This window comes from Homo sapiens, chromosome 3 (genome assembly GCF_000001405.40).
Source record: "Homo sapiens chromosome 3, GRCh38.p14 Primary Assembly".
Lineage (NCBI taxonomy): Eukaryota > Metazoa > Chordata > Mammalia > Primates > Hominidae > Homo > Homo sapiens.
In genome coordinates this window covers 33,401,025-33,415,460 of record NC_000003.12, presented here as the reverse complement: position 1 = coordinate 33,415,460, position 14,436 = coordinate 33,401,025, and the positions used below count along the sequence as shown (strand labels likewise).

At 38.8% G+C, this 14,436-nt stretch overlaps 2 protein-coding genes and 1 pseudogene across 16 annotated transcripts in view; 1 reads left to right on the top strand and 2 right to left on the bottom strand.

The window, feature by feature from the left end:
- Window positions 1-14,436, bottom strand: part of FBXL2 (F-box and leucine rich repeat protein 2) — a 145,674-nt gene that overhangs the window by 7,238 nt on the left and 124,000 nt on the right. For 6 of the 8 annotated variants that reach the window (NR_146129.2, NR_146125.2, NR_146124.2 and 3 more), the window contains one exon: window positions 11,799-12,227. The exons of the other annotated variants lie outside the window; for them this stretch is intronic. The gene's annotated coding sequence lies outside the window, so the exon portion shown is untranslated. Of the gene's footprint in view, window positions 1-11,798; window positions 12,228-14,436 lie in introns of those variants that run through there. 8 annotated transcript variants of the gene reach the window in all.
- Window positions 1-14,436, top strand: part of UBP1 (upstream binding protein 1) — a 53,064-nt gene that overhangs the window by 25,939 nt on the left and 12,689 nt on the right. For 6 of the 8 annotated variants that reach the window (XR_007095724.1, XM_047448846.1, NM_001128161.2 and 3 more), the window contains 6 exons: window positions 2,634-2,739; window positions 3,774-3,880; window positions 5,860-6,012; window positions 6,115-6,225; window positions 6,664-6,771; window positions 12,557-12,660. Coding sequence is in view for 7 of the 8 variants with exons in the window: in XM_047448846.1 (XP_047304802.1) it covers window positions 2,634-2,739; window positions 3,774-3,880; window positions 5,860-6,012; window positions 6,115-6,225; window positions 6,664-6,771; window positions 12,557-12,660 (689 nt within the window). In the remaining variant the exon portion in view is untranslated. The remainder of the gene's footprint in view (window positions 1-2,633; window positions 2,740-3,773; window positions 3,881-5,859; window positions 6,013-6,114; window positions 6,226-6,663; window positions 6,772-12,556; window positions 12,661-14,436) is intronic. The other 2 variants (XM_047448847.1, NM_001128160.2) reach the window with 1 other exon arrangement.
- RNU7-110P (RNA, U7 small nuclear 110 pseudogene) lies at window positions 1,250-1,311 on the bottom strand (annotated as a pseudogene).

The window sequence follows — 14,436 nt, the reverse complement described above, 5'->3', positions numbered from 1 at the left end:
CCAGACTTGTTTCATCTATTCCCCTTGTGCTTTTTTTGTGTATGCCGGATTATAGAATTTACTAATTTGTAATTTTAACTCAGTTCTTCATTCATGACCATTCAGTGTTCTGAGGAAAATATAACAAACTTTGACATCCAGACCAAATGCCAAAATTCAGTGTCCATCAAGGCATTGAAGAAAATCAATTCTGAAGCAATTGTCTTTGTCATTTATCAGTGGAGACAAGCTGGCTTTCCAGGGCAGTTCCCTGAATAGGTGGTAGGATTTAGAAATAATTAGTCTGATAGGTGATACCTAATGTTTAAAATATTTTGGCAAGCTGGTTAAAATACCTGTCAGATTAACTTGGGATGGCAGGGTAAAGTTGTATGACTGCTTTAAGTTCAACTTCCTTGTATTTACTTCCAAATTAAAACATGTAAAAACATTTAATATACAAAATTAATGCAAGCAAATAAATTAAGGGAAAAATGACACCTCATTATGACGTAATGAACTACTGTTAGTAGCAAAACCATTAACTTATAAATGCACAGTGAATGTTTTGCTGACATAACACTAGTATATTCCACCTAGACAAGGTTACTTATTCTGAAGGCATCAGTATCTAAATATTTAGCCCACTGATTGAAAAGGGTTCATTTTTAAAGCATTTTACATTGGCTTCATCTTCTGTTTGATAAGCCAGCTGTGTGATTTTTGGTGGATGTGCCAGGCATGCAGTTATATTCTGTAAGCTTGTCTGGGATTAAGAGCTACTGTCTGCTACTACCAAAGACTGCAGGATGAGTTTCTTGGAAATTACATCCTTTTTTTAGCTAGAGAATCCCTAAAATATGCTTCAAATTTCTAGAGTTTTATTTCCTGGCCCTAGGATCTTTGACTATACTACTTAAATTTGTGGGGGAACCTTGGGGATCAAGTGATAGGTTTGCGAAGGTGCTTTGGAACTTCTTGAATGTGCTGAACATATTTAGCAATGTGCTTTCTCTGATTGTTCTGTTTTCGTCTTTTTTTGTCCTATTTTTTTCTTTTAGTCTTATTGTTAGGGCCCCATCACATGTTGCTAGTTCTGAAAATGCAGTCAATCTCCTTTTAGGGAGAACTTTCAGATAACGAGATTTTCTCCCTGTTTCATATAAGAAGTTCCTTTCCTCTCTCCCGCCCTCCTCCCTCTCTTTCTTTTTCTTTCCCTTCCTCCCTTCCTTTTCATTCCTTTCTTTTTTCCTTTCCGTTCTTTTTTGGGTAGGGGTTTCTGGTAGAAACTGGAAAACCTGCTAGACAAATTCTAAAAGCTATATAATGCTAGAATTTTTCTTATATATCTTGTAATTTCCTAACTTTGGTCCTCCTTTTATCTTTAGTATTTTAGTCCAACCTTCTAGAATGGGGCTTAGTAAAGCTCTGAAGTCTAATACCTGTATTCTAATACTGTTTTCATCTGAATATGTGTAGTTAGTATGGTTCTTACTGAGTATGGAACAATTAGAACTGTGATATTTTCTGTGCTGTACTTTTTTCTGGAGACGAGCTGGCTAGCAGATGTGAACCACTGGCATTGGTGTCTTAGGGGCCACCACTAGCCTATGCACCATCACTATGAGAGCTTTGCTCTGGTCAGGTGATGGTGTGAAGTGGGTGCTGGGTAATTGCTTGGACAGGCCCTGCAGGTGTGGGTGCAGGTAAGGAAGATGGGAATAAAGCAGCCACTGAGCCCTATAAATGTCTCCCACATGGTACTCTTTATCTCAAAGAAAAAAATTGCTTTTAATTGGCTGCTGGGATTACAGGCATGAGCCCCACCGCACCTGGCCTAAGTTCACTTTTTCAAGGCAGCGGGCAGTGTTTCGGATTTTTGTTTTATGCCAGTTCTTTTTTTTCAAAACTCAAAGTTTTTTTTTTTTTTTTTTTGTGATGGAGTCTCGCTCTGTCACCTAGGCTGGAGTGCAGTGGTGCGAACTTGGCTCACTGCAAGCTCTGCCTCCCGGGTTCACACCATTCTTCTGCCTCAGCCTCCCAAGTAGCTGGTACTACAGGCGCCCACCACCATGCCTGGCTAATTTTTTGTATTTTTTGTAGAGATGGGGTTTCACCGTGTTAGCCAGGATGGTCCCAATCTCCCTGACCTCGTGATCCTCCCACCTCAGCCTCCCAAAGTGCTGGGATTACAGGTGTGAGCCACCGCACCCAGCCAGAAGACTCAATTGTTAACTGTTATTTTAAATTAACAAAGTTTTACCATTGTTTCTGGGTTTCTCTGTCTCCATCTTTTCATTTTTAATAACTCCTGTGTGCATCTGGTATTTTCTTTATAGGAATGTAATTCTTGCTCATTAATTTTAGTGGGAAGAACCTTAATTTTGAATTGCAATAACAAATCATTTTATAAAATCAATACCTAAGTTACCATTTTATTTATAATTTTAGTTTTTGAGTTATAATTCTTTGCACCAAATAATTGTACCGTAATCCAGGTATCCAAGGGCAAAAGAGTTCACTTACAGAATGTTTAAAACAGAATCTAGTTGTATGTGTTCTACTGCTACAGGTTAACACATAAGAAGTAGAAATGGTCCTGCATTTTAGCTGGAGCAGTTTAAAAGTACTCATTTTCCGCACTTATTCCACAGAGCATCATAAGGGTTGTATTCCATGACAGACGGCTACAATACACAGAGCATCAGCAACTTGAAGGATGGAAGTGGAATCGCCCAGGAGACAGACTTCTTGATTTAGGTACAGGCAGTGATCAAAAGACCATGGAGATGAGGGTATTGTTTAGCTATAGCCAGTAATGTGTTGTGTTGGCATCATGAATTACTTGTGTGGGGAAAGTTTTGGTGTTTGTGGATTTTGTGTCTTTTTTTTTTTTTTTTGAGACAGAGCCTTGCTCTCTCGCCCAGGATAAGTGCAGTGGCACAGTCTTGGCTCACTGCAACCTCTACCTCCCGTCTTCAAGTGATTTTCCTGCCTTAGCCTCCCAAGTAGCTAGGATTGCAGGTGCGCGCCACCATGCCCCTCTAGGATCTTGTGTCTTGAGAGTTGTTTTCTATATATACATACGCACACACATACATATATATGTATGTATGTATATACATTATTTTCTTTTTATTTTTTTCCCATCCTCGTATTATAAAGAACCGAGAGAGTTGTTTTATAGTTAAAACGTCAAGTAGCTTTTTGGTGCTAAACTAATGTGAACCTGGAATTTTATGATTTTGAAACCGTTTAATTGTAAACCATCTATCTTTTTTTTTTTTTTTTTTTTGAGACGGAGTTTCGCTCTGTTGCCCAGGCTGGAGTGCAGTGGCGCGATCTTGGCTCACTGCAACCTCCGCCTCCTGGGTTCAAGTGATTCTTGTGCCTCAGCCTTTTGAGTAGCTGGGACTACAGGCACGCGCCACTGCGTCTGGCTAATTTTTGTATTTTTAGTAGAGACGGGGTTTCACCATGTTCGCCAGGCTGGTCTCAAACTCCTGACCTCGGGTTATCCACCTGCCTTGGCCTCCCAAAGTGCTGGGATTACGTGAGCCACCACGCTCAGCCTTATCATATTCTTAAAAAAAATGAAATACAAACCATGGTAGGGGAAACGATGATATTCGTTTAGGGTGGGTTTCGATGTTGAAGAAGTTGATCATGGAGACCATTGAAAGACAGAGTTCAAAGCAGTTACAGTTATTTCATTAGAACATAATATAGTAAGTTGTAAGTTTTTTAAGTTATTTAAAGTGGATGTTTTTATGTAACTTCTTTTTAAAACATAGATATTCCAATGTCTGTGGGAATAATTGACACAAGGACGAATCCAAGCCAGTTAAATGCGGTTGAATTTCTGTGGGACCCAGCAAAACGCACCTCTGCTTTCATTCAGGTTTGGATTTTTACATTATTAGAAGCTTACTAACCTAGTTATTTAGGTCATGGTAGGATTGAATTTTTGATACAGTATCATTTCCTTTAAATGTCTATTTATAAACTATGTTGTAGTGTCTTTCTATATACATAGTTAGGTTTAATCTAGTAAGTTCACCCTATTTTAAACTAACATATATGAAGACATTCTATGATATGTAAAGCATTATTCAAATGTTATTTTTACCACTAGTAGTCCCAATAATGAAAATGTCTATTTTTCATGAGATGTATTTCTCTTGAACACAAGCTGCTATTTAAAAGGATACGATTGAAAAAAGATTGAGGTTTTAAAATTCCTTCTAGCATTATTTTTAAAACATTCTAATACTGAAAAATTCAAACCTCTACAAATAGGATAATAATGATGACTAATTGTCCATGTAACCATCACCTGGCTTTAGCAGTTTTTAGTAGTTTCCGCCCCCTTTTAGTTATTCTTGGAGCACTTTTTTTTTTTTTTTTTTGAGATGGAGTTTCATTCTGTCACCCAGGCTGGAATACAGTGGCATGATCTCGGCTCACTGCAATCTCCGCCTCCCAGATTCAAGCTCTTCTCATCTCTCAGCCTCCTGAGTAGCTGGGATTACAGGTGTGCACCACAATGCCTGGCTGATTTTTGTATTTTTAGTAGAGATGGGGGTTTCACCATATTGGCCAGACTGGTCTTGAGCTCCTGACCTCAAGTGATCTACCTGCCTTGTCCTCCTAAAGTGCTGGGATTACAGGTGTGAGCCACTGTGCCCAGCCTGTTAGAGTACTTTAAAGCAAGTTTCAGGCATACCATTTCATCCATAAATATCATGTCTCTAAGAGATGAGTTTTAAAAAGTAACTATAATATCATTATTCTGTGTTTAAAAAAAATAGTGATTCTAATACCCACAATGTTCAAATTTGTATGTGGTGGAATTTAAACTACCAGGTAGGTAATATATAGAAAAGGAAAACCACTTACTTGCTGACCAGCCTTCATAAGCTATGCTTTGCATGAACTGTAAAAAATCATTTGTATTTTGCATTTTGGTATTCTACCAATATTATTCTCCATCAGTTAATCCCTGGGGGCATGGTTTATATCCGTTGAATATTGATGTAAACTCATACTGTTGGTGTTTGTCTATAAGGCAACTAGTTATGTAGTAAATCAAAGTGATACAAGACCTGGCTTTACATATCAGGTTGTGTTGTCATATTGCAGAGATCAGTTTTAATAGTGAGTCATTAGAAGAGGGGGATGTGCAGCAGTCAGAAATGACCAAGGTCTTGCTGTTAACTCTGTGTGAAACCCTAAGGCTGTCATCCAGGGTGGGTATTAGGAGACAGGGCAGGAGTGGTGGAAGATGAGTATTGCCCTCTGGATCCTGAATGGACTTTGAAGAGTTGACCAAAGAGTTTAGATGGATACAGAATAGGATGGGTAGTGGGTTTTCTGGACTGTAAAATTTCCCCAGGCAAAGTATCACAAATTGGCATCTGTAGGAACAGCAGTAAGATAGTTGGCTGGGTAGAATAGGGGTAATGGCAGTAGAGGGCAAACAACAGAAGCTCTAAACAATGAAGTGAAGATTGCTGTGGATTGAACAGGGCTTAGTACCCTGGGTCTGAGATGAGCAGACAGTCCAAGGTGGAGGTGGGCAGTATACATAGGAAGCTACTGTAGTGTTGTACCCCTGATTGGACCCAAGTCCTGCATTAGAGGAGAGGCACTGTGATGGGCAAGAGCTCAGAAAGTCTGGAGAGGCTCAGTTGGATTTGTGAGAGGGAAGCCATATCTTAAAAACAATTAGGTTCATAGATAATTTGGCTAATATGTGTGATGAGTTTATTTTAAAGGATCTTGAATTTATAGTGGTGTCAGGTCACTCAAGAGGGAACAAAATAGAAAAATAACCAGTGGAAGTTCTTTGAATCCATTTCAGCCTGAATCGTTTTATAGGTACACTGCATCAGCACAGAATTTACTCCACGGAAGCACGGAGGTGAAAAGGGAGTGCCCTTTAGGATCCAGGTTGACACCTTTAAGCAGAATGAAAATGGAGAATACACAGATCATCTACACTCAGCTAGCTGCCAAATCAAAGTTTTTAAGGTAAGACAGAGAACCCGGGTTTTCTGTAATTAAGGCTCAGTTTTGCCTGTAAAGCTGTGTGTCTGCAGCCTGATAGATGAAATAGTATACTTTGTTTTTAAGCCTAAAGGTGCAGACAGGAAACAAAAAACTGACCGAGAGAAGATGGAGAAGAGAACAGCTCATGAAAAAGAAAAGTATCAGCCGTCCTATGATACCACAATCCTCACAGAGGTAATGTAGTAAAGCATTTGGTTTTGGAAGAGAAGCAAAGGTTGCATATTAGTCTATTTCTAAGATGAGTTCTGCTACAAAAGGGTTGGGGAAGATTGGGTGGCAGTTTGACATGTTATTCTCTGTGAAATTTCTGGGGAAAATATTTAAATTTGGGGATTTTGATAGACTGTTTCCTGGGTGGGATCTTAAATGAAGATGCTGAAATCCCAATGAGGTCTTAGAAACAGACCTTAAAAACTTTGAAGTTGGCAAGAGACTTAAGTTGGAGCCTAGAAAGTCCAATTTTTGTCACTGCTGGGGTTTTGCATTTTTTTTAACTTTGAATCCTGTTAGTCATGCATTTGTTTAATTGGACTGAAGAGACATGAAACAGGGTGTTAGATCTTTCTTTGTATAATGAAAAGACATTGATCCCAATCTTTGGTGTTTGTCCAGATGAGGCTTGAGCCTATAATTGAAGATGCAGTTGAACATGAGCAGAAAAAGTCCAGCAAGCGGACTTTGCCAGCAGACTACGGTGATTCTCTGGCAAAGCGAGGCAGTGTAAGGGACTTCTGCTTCTCTTTTCATTGTGCAAGAAACCTTGTGCAGTGTTAGATATAGGACCAACTTCCACCGCAAAGTAAAGCCAAAATTGTTTTTGATGTCCATGTCTTGATTTAATTTGCTTTTGTTTAGACTTCCTGCTTCTGTTTGTTCCTCACTGAGGAAAATTTCCTAAATCTAACACTTTAAAACAAAGCAAAAAACAATGTTGACCATATTGGGTGGTTTTGGAGGGAAAAAAAGACACTCAGAGATATGTATTCCCTCCCTGACTCCTTCCCTTCCTCCTTCCCTCCCTCTCTCCTTCACACACACACCTCCTTCAAGAGCACTGAAATTAATTGAAAATACTTTCTTTAGTAAATTAGCTATTATTTTTGTGTAACTGAAAAGGGTCTTGCTTTCTCATGTGTATACTTGATAAAATTTTGTGGACAGTTAGATGATGGCAGCAAGCTTGACATTAACACGTGCAGTTCTTTGTTACATTTTTCTGCATGTAGTATAAAAATGTGTGTCTGTCTATGCTTCTAAGAGCCTGTTTGGCAGCACTGGTAGAAAAAAAAAAACTCTGATGGGATTCATGTTTCTTCTTGGCAGTTGCATTGTGAATTAATGCTTCAGGCCAAAGTAGTGTACCTTGCTACACCTAGACCTGGGCCGCCCCCAATATGCAGTCAGGGGGCATCTGGTTGAATATGTGCTTTGTCCAGTTAAGTATAGCAAATCTTTATTTTATGACATGACTCTTCATCTATTAGTCCACAAACGATGATCCTGCTTTGCAAACTTAGATCAGCTACATACCTTCAGTAAATATAAACACAGAACATTAAAGAATCATTTAAAATAATTGTCATCATATGTATTCGTGACTGCTGTATTCACTGTTGCAGTCTTTGCACTATTAAAGTACCAGAGGATTTTTCATTCTTACACATATCGCAATTGCTGTGGTTAAATGTAGACTTTGAATGTTACTGTCACAAGCACTATCACAAGAAACTCATTTCCAATTATAGTATCGAATAAAAATGTTTTAATGCTTCTCTATGCAATGAAACTGAAATTGTACTCATCCTAGTGCCACTGGAAGCACACGTTACATTTTCTTTAACTGGGCTTTTTTTTTTTTTTTTAAATAAATTCGAATCAAAGATTGTTAAAACAGCTGTATATTCTTTCCTAAAACACCCGCCCCAGCAATTTTGTTTTTATCCTCTTCTGATTTCTCAGCTGAAGACCCACCAATGGTTCTTAGTAAACTTCTTTGGGGGGGATTCTGGCAACTCACTTTTCCTCTCCTGTTATAAACCATTTAACTAATAAAGAAGTAGGTTCTGGTAATTCCTAAATAAAAGAAATTCATTATAGCCCAGAGGTAATCTGAAGATGGGAAAACTGTTGGTAAATTCTTAATGATTCTTAAGTCTAAAGTATGCAAAACGTCAGCAGTTCACTGGCCTGGGATTTCACATCTTCCTCATGTATTGCTTACTGCCCTGGCTGTATTTGATTTTGTTCAGATGCTTTTAGGGGTGGTTAGAGCTCATCTTGAAAACCTGTTTTTAAAAATGCAGGGTACAGATTGTCACTTAAAAAGGAAAGTTTGCAGAATTTCATATGTTTCTTCAAACTCCTACAAAGGAAGGCCAACATTTCATAGAGTTTTTGGCTAGTTACAATTGGCTTTCAGTAAAAAGGGATATCCAGACTTACTGTTAGAGTCGAAAAGATGCCGAATGAAATGGTGCCACACTGAATAGTCACTACTGTTGGTTACCAGGAGATGCCGTACAACAAAACTCTTAGTGTGTCTGTTGGTCTTCATCTCTGAGCTGTATATGATTGGCTCAAATGATGACTGCCAATTTCTACAGCCTAAAATGGGTGATCATTCTTTACCTGGGGAGGGACTGTGTTCACAGTGTACCGAAACCATAACTATGAGCCCAGGCCAGGCATTGCTAGCGCCGTTATGAATTCAGGAGCATAGGCACTGCACCATCGCTTGCTTTTCGAATGTTAGAAGAATCTAAATATCTAAAAGCAAAATGGGTATTTATGGAGTTTTGGTAAACTTGGTGTTTCTACATTACTCTGCCATGCTAACTTGAAGCTTTTTGATGGCTTCATTTCTTCAAATGGCTGGCAATAATTACAAAAAGTTTAGAGAGACTTGATACTTTTAATATTAAATGGTTTACATTATTTATACATGTATGTTATGCTGTGTTATGTTTTATATGTGCAGGGGGATGTTGTAGCAGGAAAATCTTTCAGATAGTAGAGGTGAGGTGACAGTGTGTGATACCCATGATTAGATTTGCTAGTCAGCTCACAGGGTCTTGGGTTCATCAAACAGTGTAAACTGAGGAGGTGATACTTTGTAAGGTGGAAAGAAAAACAAGGGTCTAGTTTTTTAGTTATTTATTTATTTTTTTGAGATGGGCTTTCACTGTATTGCCAAGGCTGACCTCAATCTCCTCAAGCAGTCCTCCTGCCTCAGACTTCTGAGTAGTTGGACCACAGGTGTGTGTGTGCCATCACACCTGGCTTAAAAGGCCCTAATTTTAAAAGAATGGGCATTGTTGTGTAAAATGTAATTTATAGCAAAGTTGCTATGCCATGCAATAAGTTTATTCAAAGCTCTCCAGCTAAATTAGATTTCTTTTTTGAAAGCTGACTGATAATAGAAGTAATAAGTCTGCAATCATTTTTCTTTTTTAAGGAGATACATAATTGGGTAGTTGAGATTATTTTCCATGTATCCATTGCTTTTGATGGATGTCAGACAAGCGTTTTAAGCCCCTGTAGCCATTGGTGAGACTTAATTTCTGCCCTCAGTGTGCTTCACAGTTTCTTAGCTCCATTACACCAGTGGTCTTGACACTTACCTACTCAAAATAATTTTTAAATTTTTTTAGAGACAGTGTCTTGCCCAGTCACCTGGGCCTGGAGTGCAGTAGTGTGATCAAAGTTCACTGCAACCTCAAACTCCTTGGCTCAAGTGATCCAAGACACTTGAGACAGGTTCTCGCTGTGTTCCTCAGGCTGATCCCCAACTCCTGGCCTCAGAATGATCCTCCCACCTTGGCCTCCGAAAGTGCTGGGATTATAGGCATGAGCCACCATACCTGGCCTCAAAAGAATTTTGAAAAAGGATATACTTGCACCTTTCCAGATTGACATCTGAAAGTTTTCATCATAAAGTTTTTTCATCATAAATTTAAATAGCTGCAAAGGAGGCAATGTTCTGGCGTGGTGGTGATTTGCGTTTACAATTTAAGATAAAACTGTGACATTACTCTTGAAGTGCATCCTATGGAATCTAAATGCCATGGCAGTTTGACCACTGCTATTGTTCATTCAAAAAATTCATTAAATCCAAGATTTTACTCTGTTCTTCCTTCTTGGTCTCATGTTTGTATTTCACTCCCCTTAAATTTTATCCTAATATGACATAGTTTTATGCCTGAAAATCTTTAAAAATTTTTTTCTTATTTATTTTTATTTTTTATTCCTGAGGCTTCAAATGATGAAACTGAAATTTTTAAATGATCACCCTAAAAAAATTGCCTTACAACAAATTTACATAAATTGAAATTTAATTTTTAAAATTTGCTGTGACCATAGCCTCTTAACTCAGTCAAGATATTTAAAACTTATTAGTACCAATTTATCAAAACAACAAATCCTACAGATTTTGATGAATATTTATTACATGTAAAAATAGAAATATTATTGGAAATGCATCTTGAATGATGAGACAGGATAGAATATAACTTCTAGAATTTTATACATATGAGCAATTTTGTTTTTTCTTTCGGTAGTGTCATTCAGGTCCTGGAAGTCCTTTTGAATCATCTGTCAAAAATCCCAGGGACATTTTTATGTGATCTACTAGATTATTTCAATATATGTCAGTTGACAATAGGTCCATCCTCCTGAATTATTTTGATAGCAAATAATTGAAAATCACCTGACTTACAGAAAAACTTAGTCATTAGAGTTATGTACTTTTTCTTTCCTTTTTTTCAAGATGGGGGTCTCACTCTGTTACCCAAGCTGGAGTGCAGTGGTGTAGTCATGGCTCACTGCAGCCTCCCCTTCCCAGATTCAAGCAATTCTCCTGTCTCAGACTCCCAAGTAGCTGTGACTACAGGTGTGCTCCACCATACCTGGCTATTTTTTTTTTTTTAATCCTATTATCTTTAGCTTGGCTTTGGGAGAGTCTTCATTATATTTACTTATTTATCTATTTTCATTTTTTTTGAGATGGAATCTCGCTCTGTCACCCAGGCTGGAGTACAATGGCACGATCTCGGCTCACTGCAACCCCCGCCTCCCAGGTTCAAGCGATTCTCCTGCCTCAGCCTCCTGAGTAGCTGGGATTACAGGCACACGCCACTACGCCCAGCTAAGTTTTTGTATTTTTAGTAGAGACGGGGTGTCACCATGTTAGCCAGGATGGTCTCAATCTCCTGACCTCATGATCCACCCACCTCAGCCTCCCAGAGTGCTGGGATTACAGGCGTGAGCCACCGCGCCCGGCCTCATTATATTTATTTTATTGTTTTTATTTTTTGGTAGAAACAGGGTCTCACTGTGTTGCCCAGGCTGGTCTTGAACTCCTGGGCTCAAGCTATCCTGGGCTATCCTGGGCTACCGCCTTGGCCTCCCAAAGCACTGAGATTAGGGGCATGAGTCACCGTGTCCAGCCTGGGACAGTCTTAAACCCCAGGGCTATAGTTAGATGTGATGCCTTTCTTGTGTAAAATGAGAGAAGGATGATTATGAAAGGGGACCCTTGAAACTGAGTCCTCAGATCCATTGGTTTTTAGAAAGAATACCTGTAAAGTGAAATCACACCATGTGATGTCTGTATCTCAAGTCTGAAGACTTGTATTTGAGATTACTCTGGCATGCTTAGCATGCTTTTGACTGACTTTTTCAACCTCCTAATTGTAATAGTGTATCTCCGTGTCTTTGTTCTGTTTCTGGTCAGAATTTTGCCTGGAGCTGAAAAATATTAAAGTTCACCATAACCCTTCCAGAAAATATAAAAGAAAGAAAGAAGGAAAGATAGATAGATAGATAGACAGACAGACAGACAGACAGACAGACAGACAGACAGACAGATAGATTAGATAGACAGACCAGACAGACAGACAGATAGATAGATAGATAGATAGATAGAGATAGATGTAGTACTGTACACAGTTGATGTATTTTGATGCTGGGCCTGTCTGGTCTGTCTTGAGGATTATTAACCTTTAGAGGTATCAGAGAAGCAAATGGGTACTGGTGAGGCTGCTCATTAGGGAAGAGGGCAAAAGGAGCACTAGCTAGGTCAGAGCCATGTTTCAGGTCACCATGTGATGTCAGATGTTGCTTATAAATCCTTTCTTGTCTTCGCCATTCTTAAATCTTGATAGGTGCCTGTTGGGAAACTGATAAAGAGGATACTGGTAAAGAGGGAGGAGAAAGCTCTTCAAAGCAATTATACTTAAGCATATATTTTAAATGCCTTTATAAATTTTTGCTGCTGTCATCACTTTAGGTCTTCTCTAAGATTAATCAGTGTCTAGACGCACACAGCAGGTAAAACTTTTCTTTGCCACACAGAAGTAAATTTGACATGTGTCTGTGAGGTTGCTTGATAAATGTCAGCTGTCTCGCATTTTATAATCTTGCATTTGGTTAGTGAGTGAATTACAAAAATATTTCTTCCACATATTTTAAAAGCATATCACTAATTTATTTCTGTTTCTGTCCTTAGTGTTCTCCGTGGCCCGATGCCCCCACAGCCTATGTGAATAACAGCCCTTCCCCAGCGCCCACTTTCACCTCCCCACAGCAGAGCACTTGCAGTGTCCCAGACAGGTATCTAGTTTGTGTGATCGTGTGCCTGCAGCTAACTAATGCTCATGTGCCTTCATTTCCCCATCTCTCCATGTACAGCAGCCTTTTGTTTGTATTGTACCTAAAGGAAACAGTAAGGGGAAGTATCCTGTATCTTGGTGGCAGAGGACAATCATTGTCTTTTCTTCACCTACCAGCCTTTTTTACTCCGAGCCCCTTGTGCCTTAACATAGTCACAACTATGGTAATTGTAGACAAGGCGCCATTTTCAAGACATAGCCAAGATATATTCTTTGTAAGATTAAAGACAACATTAACAGTGTCTATAGGTAGAGAGAGAGGGACAAAGTGAGTTTATTACTAAGTTCATTCACTTGTCTGTAATGCTTATATCAAATGGGTTATTTTCTGCAGTATTTCTTTTCTCTCCCAATAGATATGCTATTTTTTTAATTAAATCTTTAAAGGAAGACCTTTCGGTTTCTACAGACTTGCTGTGGTTTTAGAAATGGAAATGGTGGACTCTTTATTCTGTTATCCAGCCTTGACTGGCAAGAGTCTAGAGTAAGCTCAGGGTGGGAGCAAGAGACTGCATTTGGGGCATCTTGAAGGTACAGCAGTACCCCATGGCGGCTTTCCATTCTAGGGCTTTGCTGCAGAACTAATGCAGAGTAGTTAGCATCAGAAGTTCCCTATTTTTAGGAAGTTTCTTGTTGGGGAGGAAAATTATGAAAGCTAAGATCACAAAGAAAAAGGTTCTCCGGTCATGCTGACAAGGTCTGATGAGAAAGCAAGCAAAAATGTGCTCTCCCCCTGAGGAGATGGATAAACTGAGAAGGCAGCTTGTTGTCATGTAGGCTATTATGCTTTAAGAGTAGAAAAATAGCCTTGGACTCAGAAAATTAGAGGAGTGACCAGAGGACCAGTAGGTTACCATGTCTGAGGGCTTAGAATAGTTTCCTAGTCAGTCAGTCCGGTCTGAATAATCTTAGAAAATGCTTATGGCTTTAAAGGTGAGCTGTAAGTTTATGTACTCACTAGTAGACTGGAGAACTTATTGTGTTCCCAGCACTGTTCTAAGTGTTCTGATACATTAGTGCCCAAACAGACAGACCCCCGTCTGAAGGAGCTTAAGTTCTTATGGGTAGAAAGGATATAAATAATCAAGATAATAAACCTAAGCAATTGAGGCACGGGGGCTAAGAAAGGAGTCGGTGCTCAAGAGCCAGAAGGTAGCCCTATTCCCTGTGGAGCTGTTTTTCATTTCATTTTACTTAGAAGCACAAGGATAGTGGTACAAGTTAATTTCTTTTGTTCTCTTGAAATTCACCCTCATCAATCTTGGATATATGTATTACTTAAAGGAGTATCATTTTATATTTTTGCTTAGGGTCATTGTACTATTTCTTGTAGCTCATTTTTTTTGCAATTATTTTCAACTATTTATCTAATTTGATGTTTCATATTTTTTCCCCTAACTTTTAAAAATTAATGTGTATCCTTCATTTTCCTTGGCATCCCTGAAGATAATTGGGGAAGCCCTTTTGTTTCACAAAACTTGAATTTCTTACTAGTACAGATGAAGAAGGCACAAATTAAGACACAGTCTTCTGTGTCTTAATTTCGTCATCATGTCCACACCCTAAGCTGTTGCGCTTGCATTTTGTTGCAGACTTTCATAGCTGTCTCCCACTGTTGCCTTACTTGAAATTTGCATAGTTACAATGCAACAGCTTTTAATGCCTTGATTAAAACATATATGTATTATAAAAATCATCATTTCCTTCTTTCTCCTTT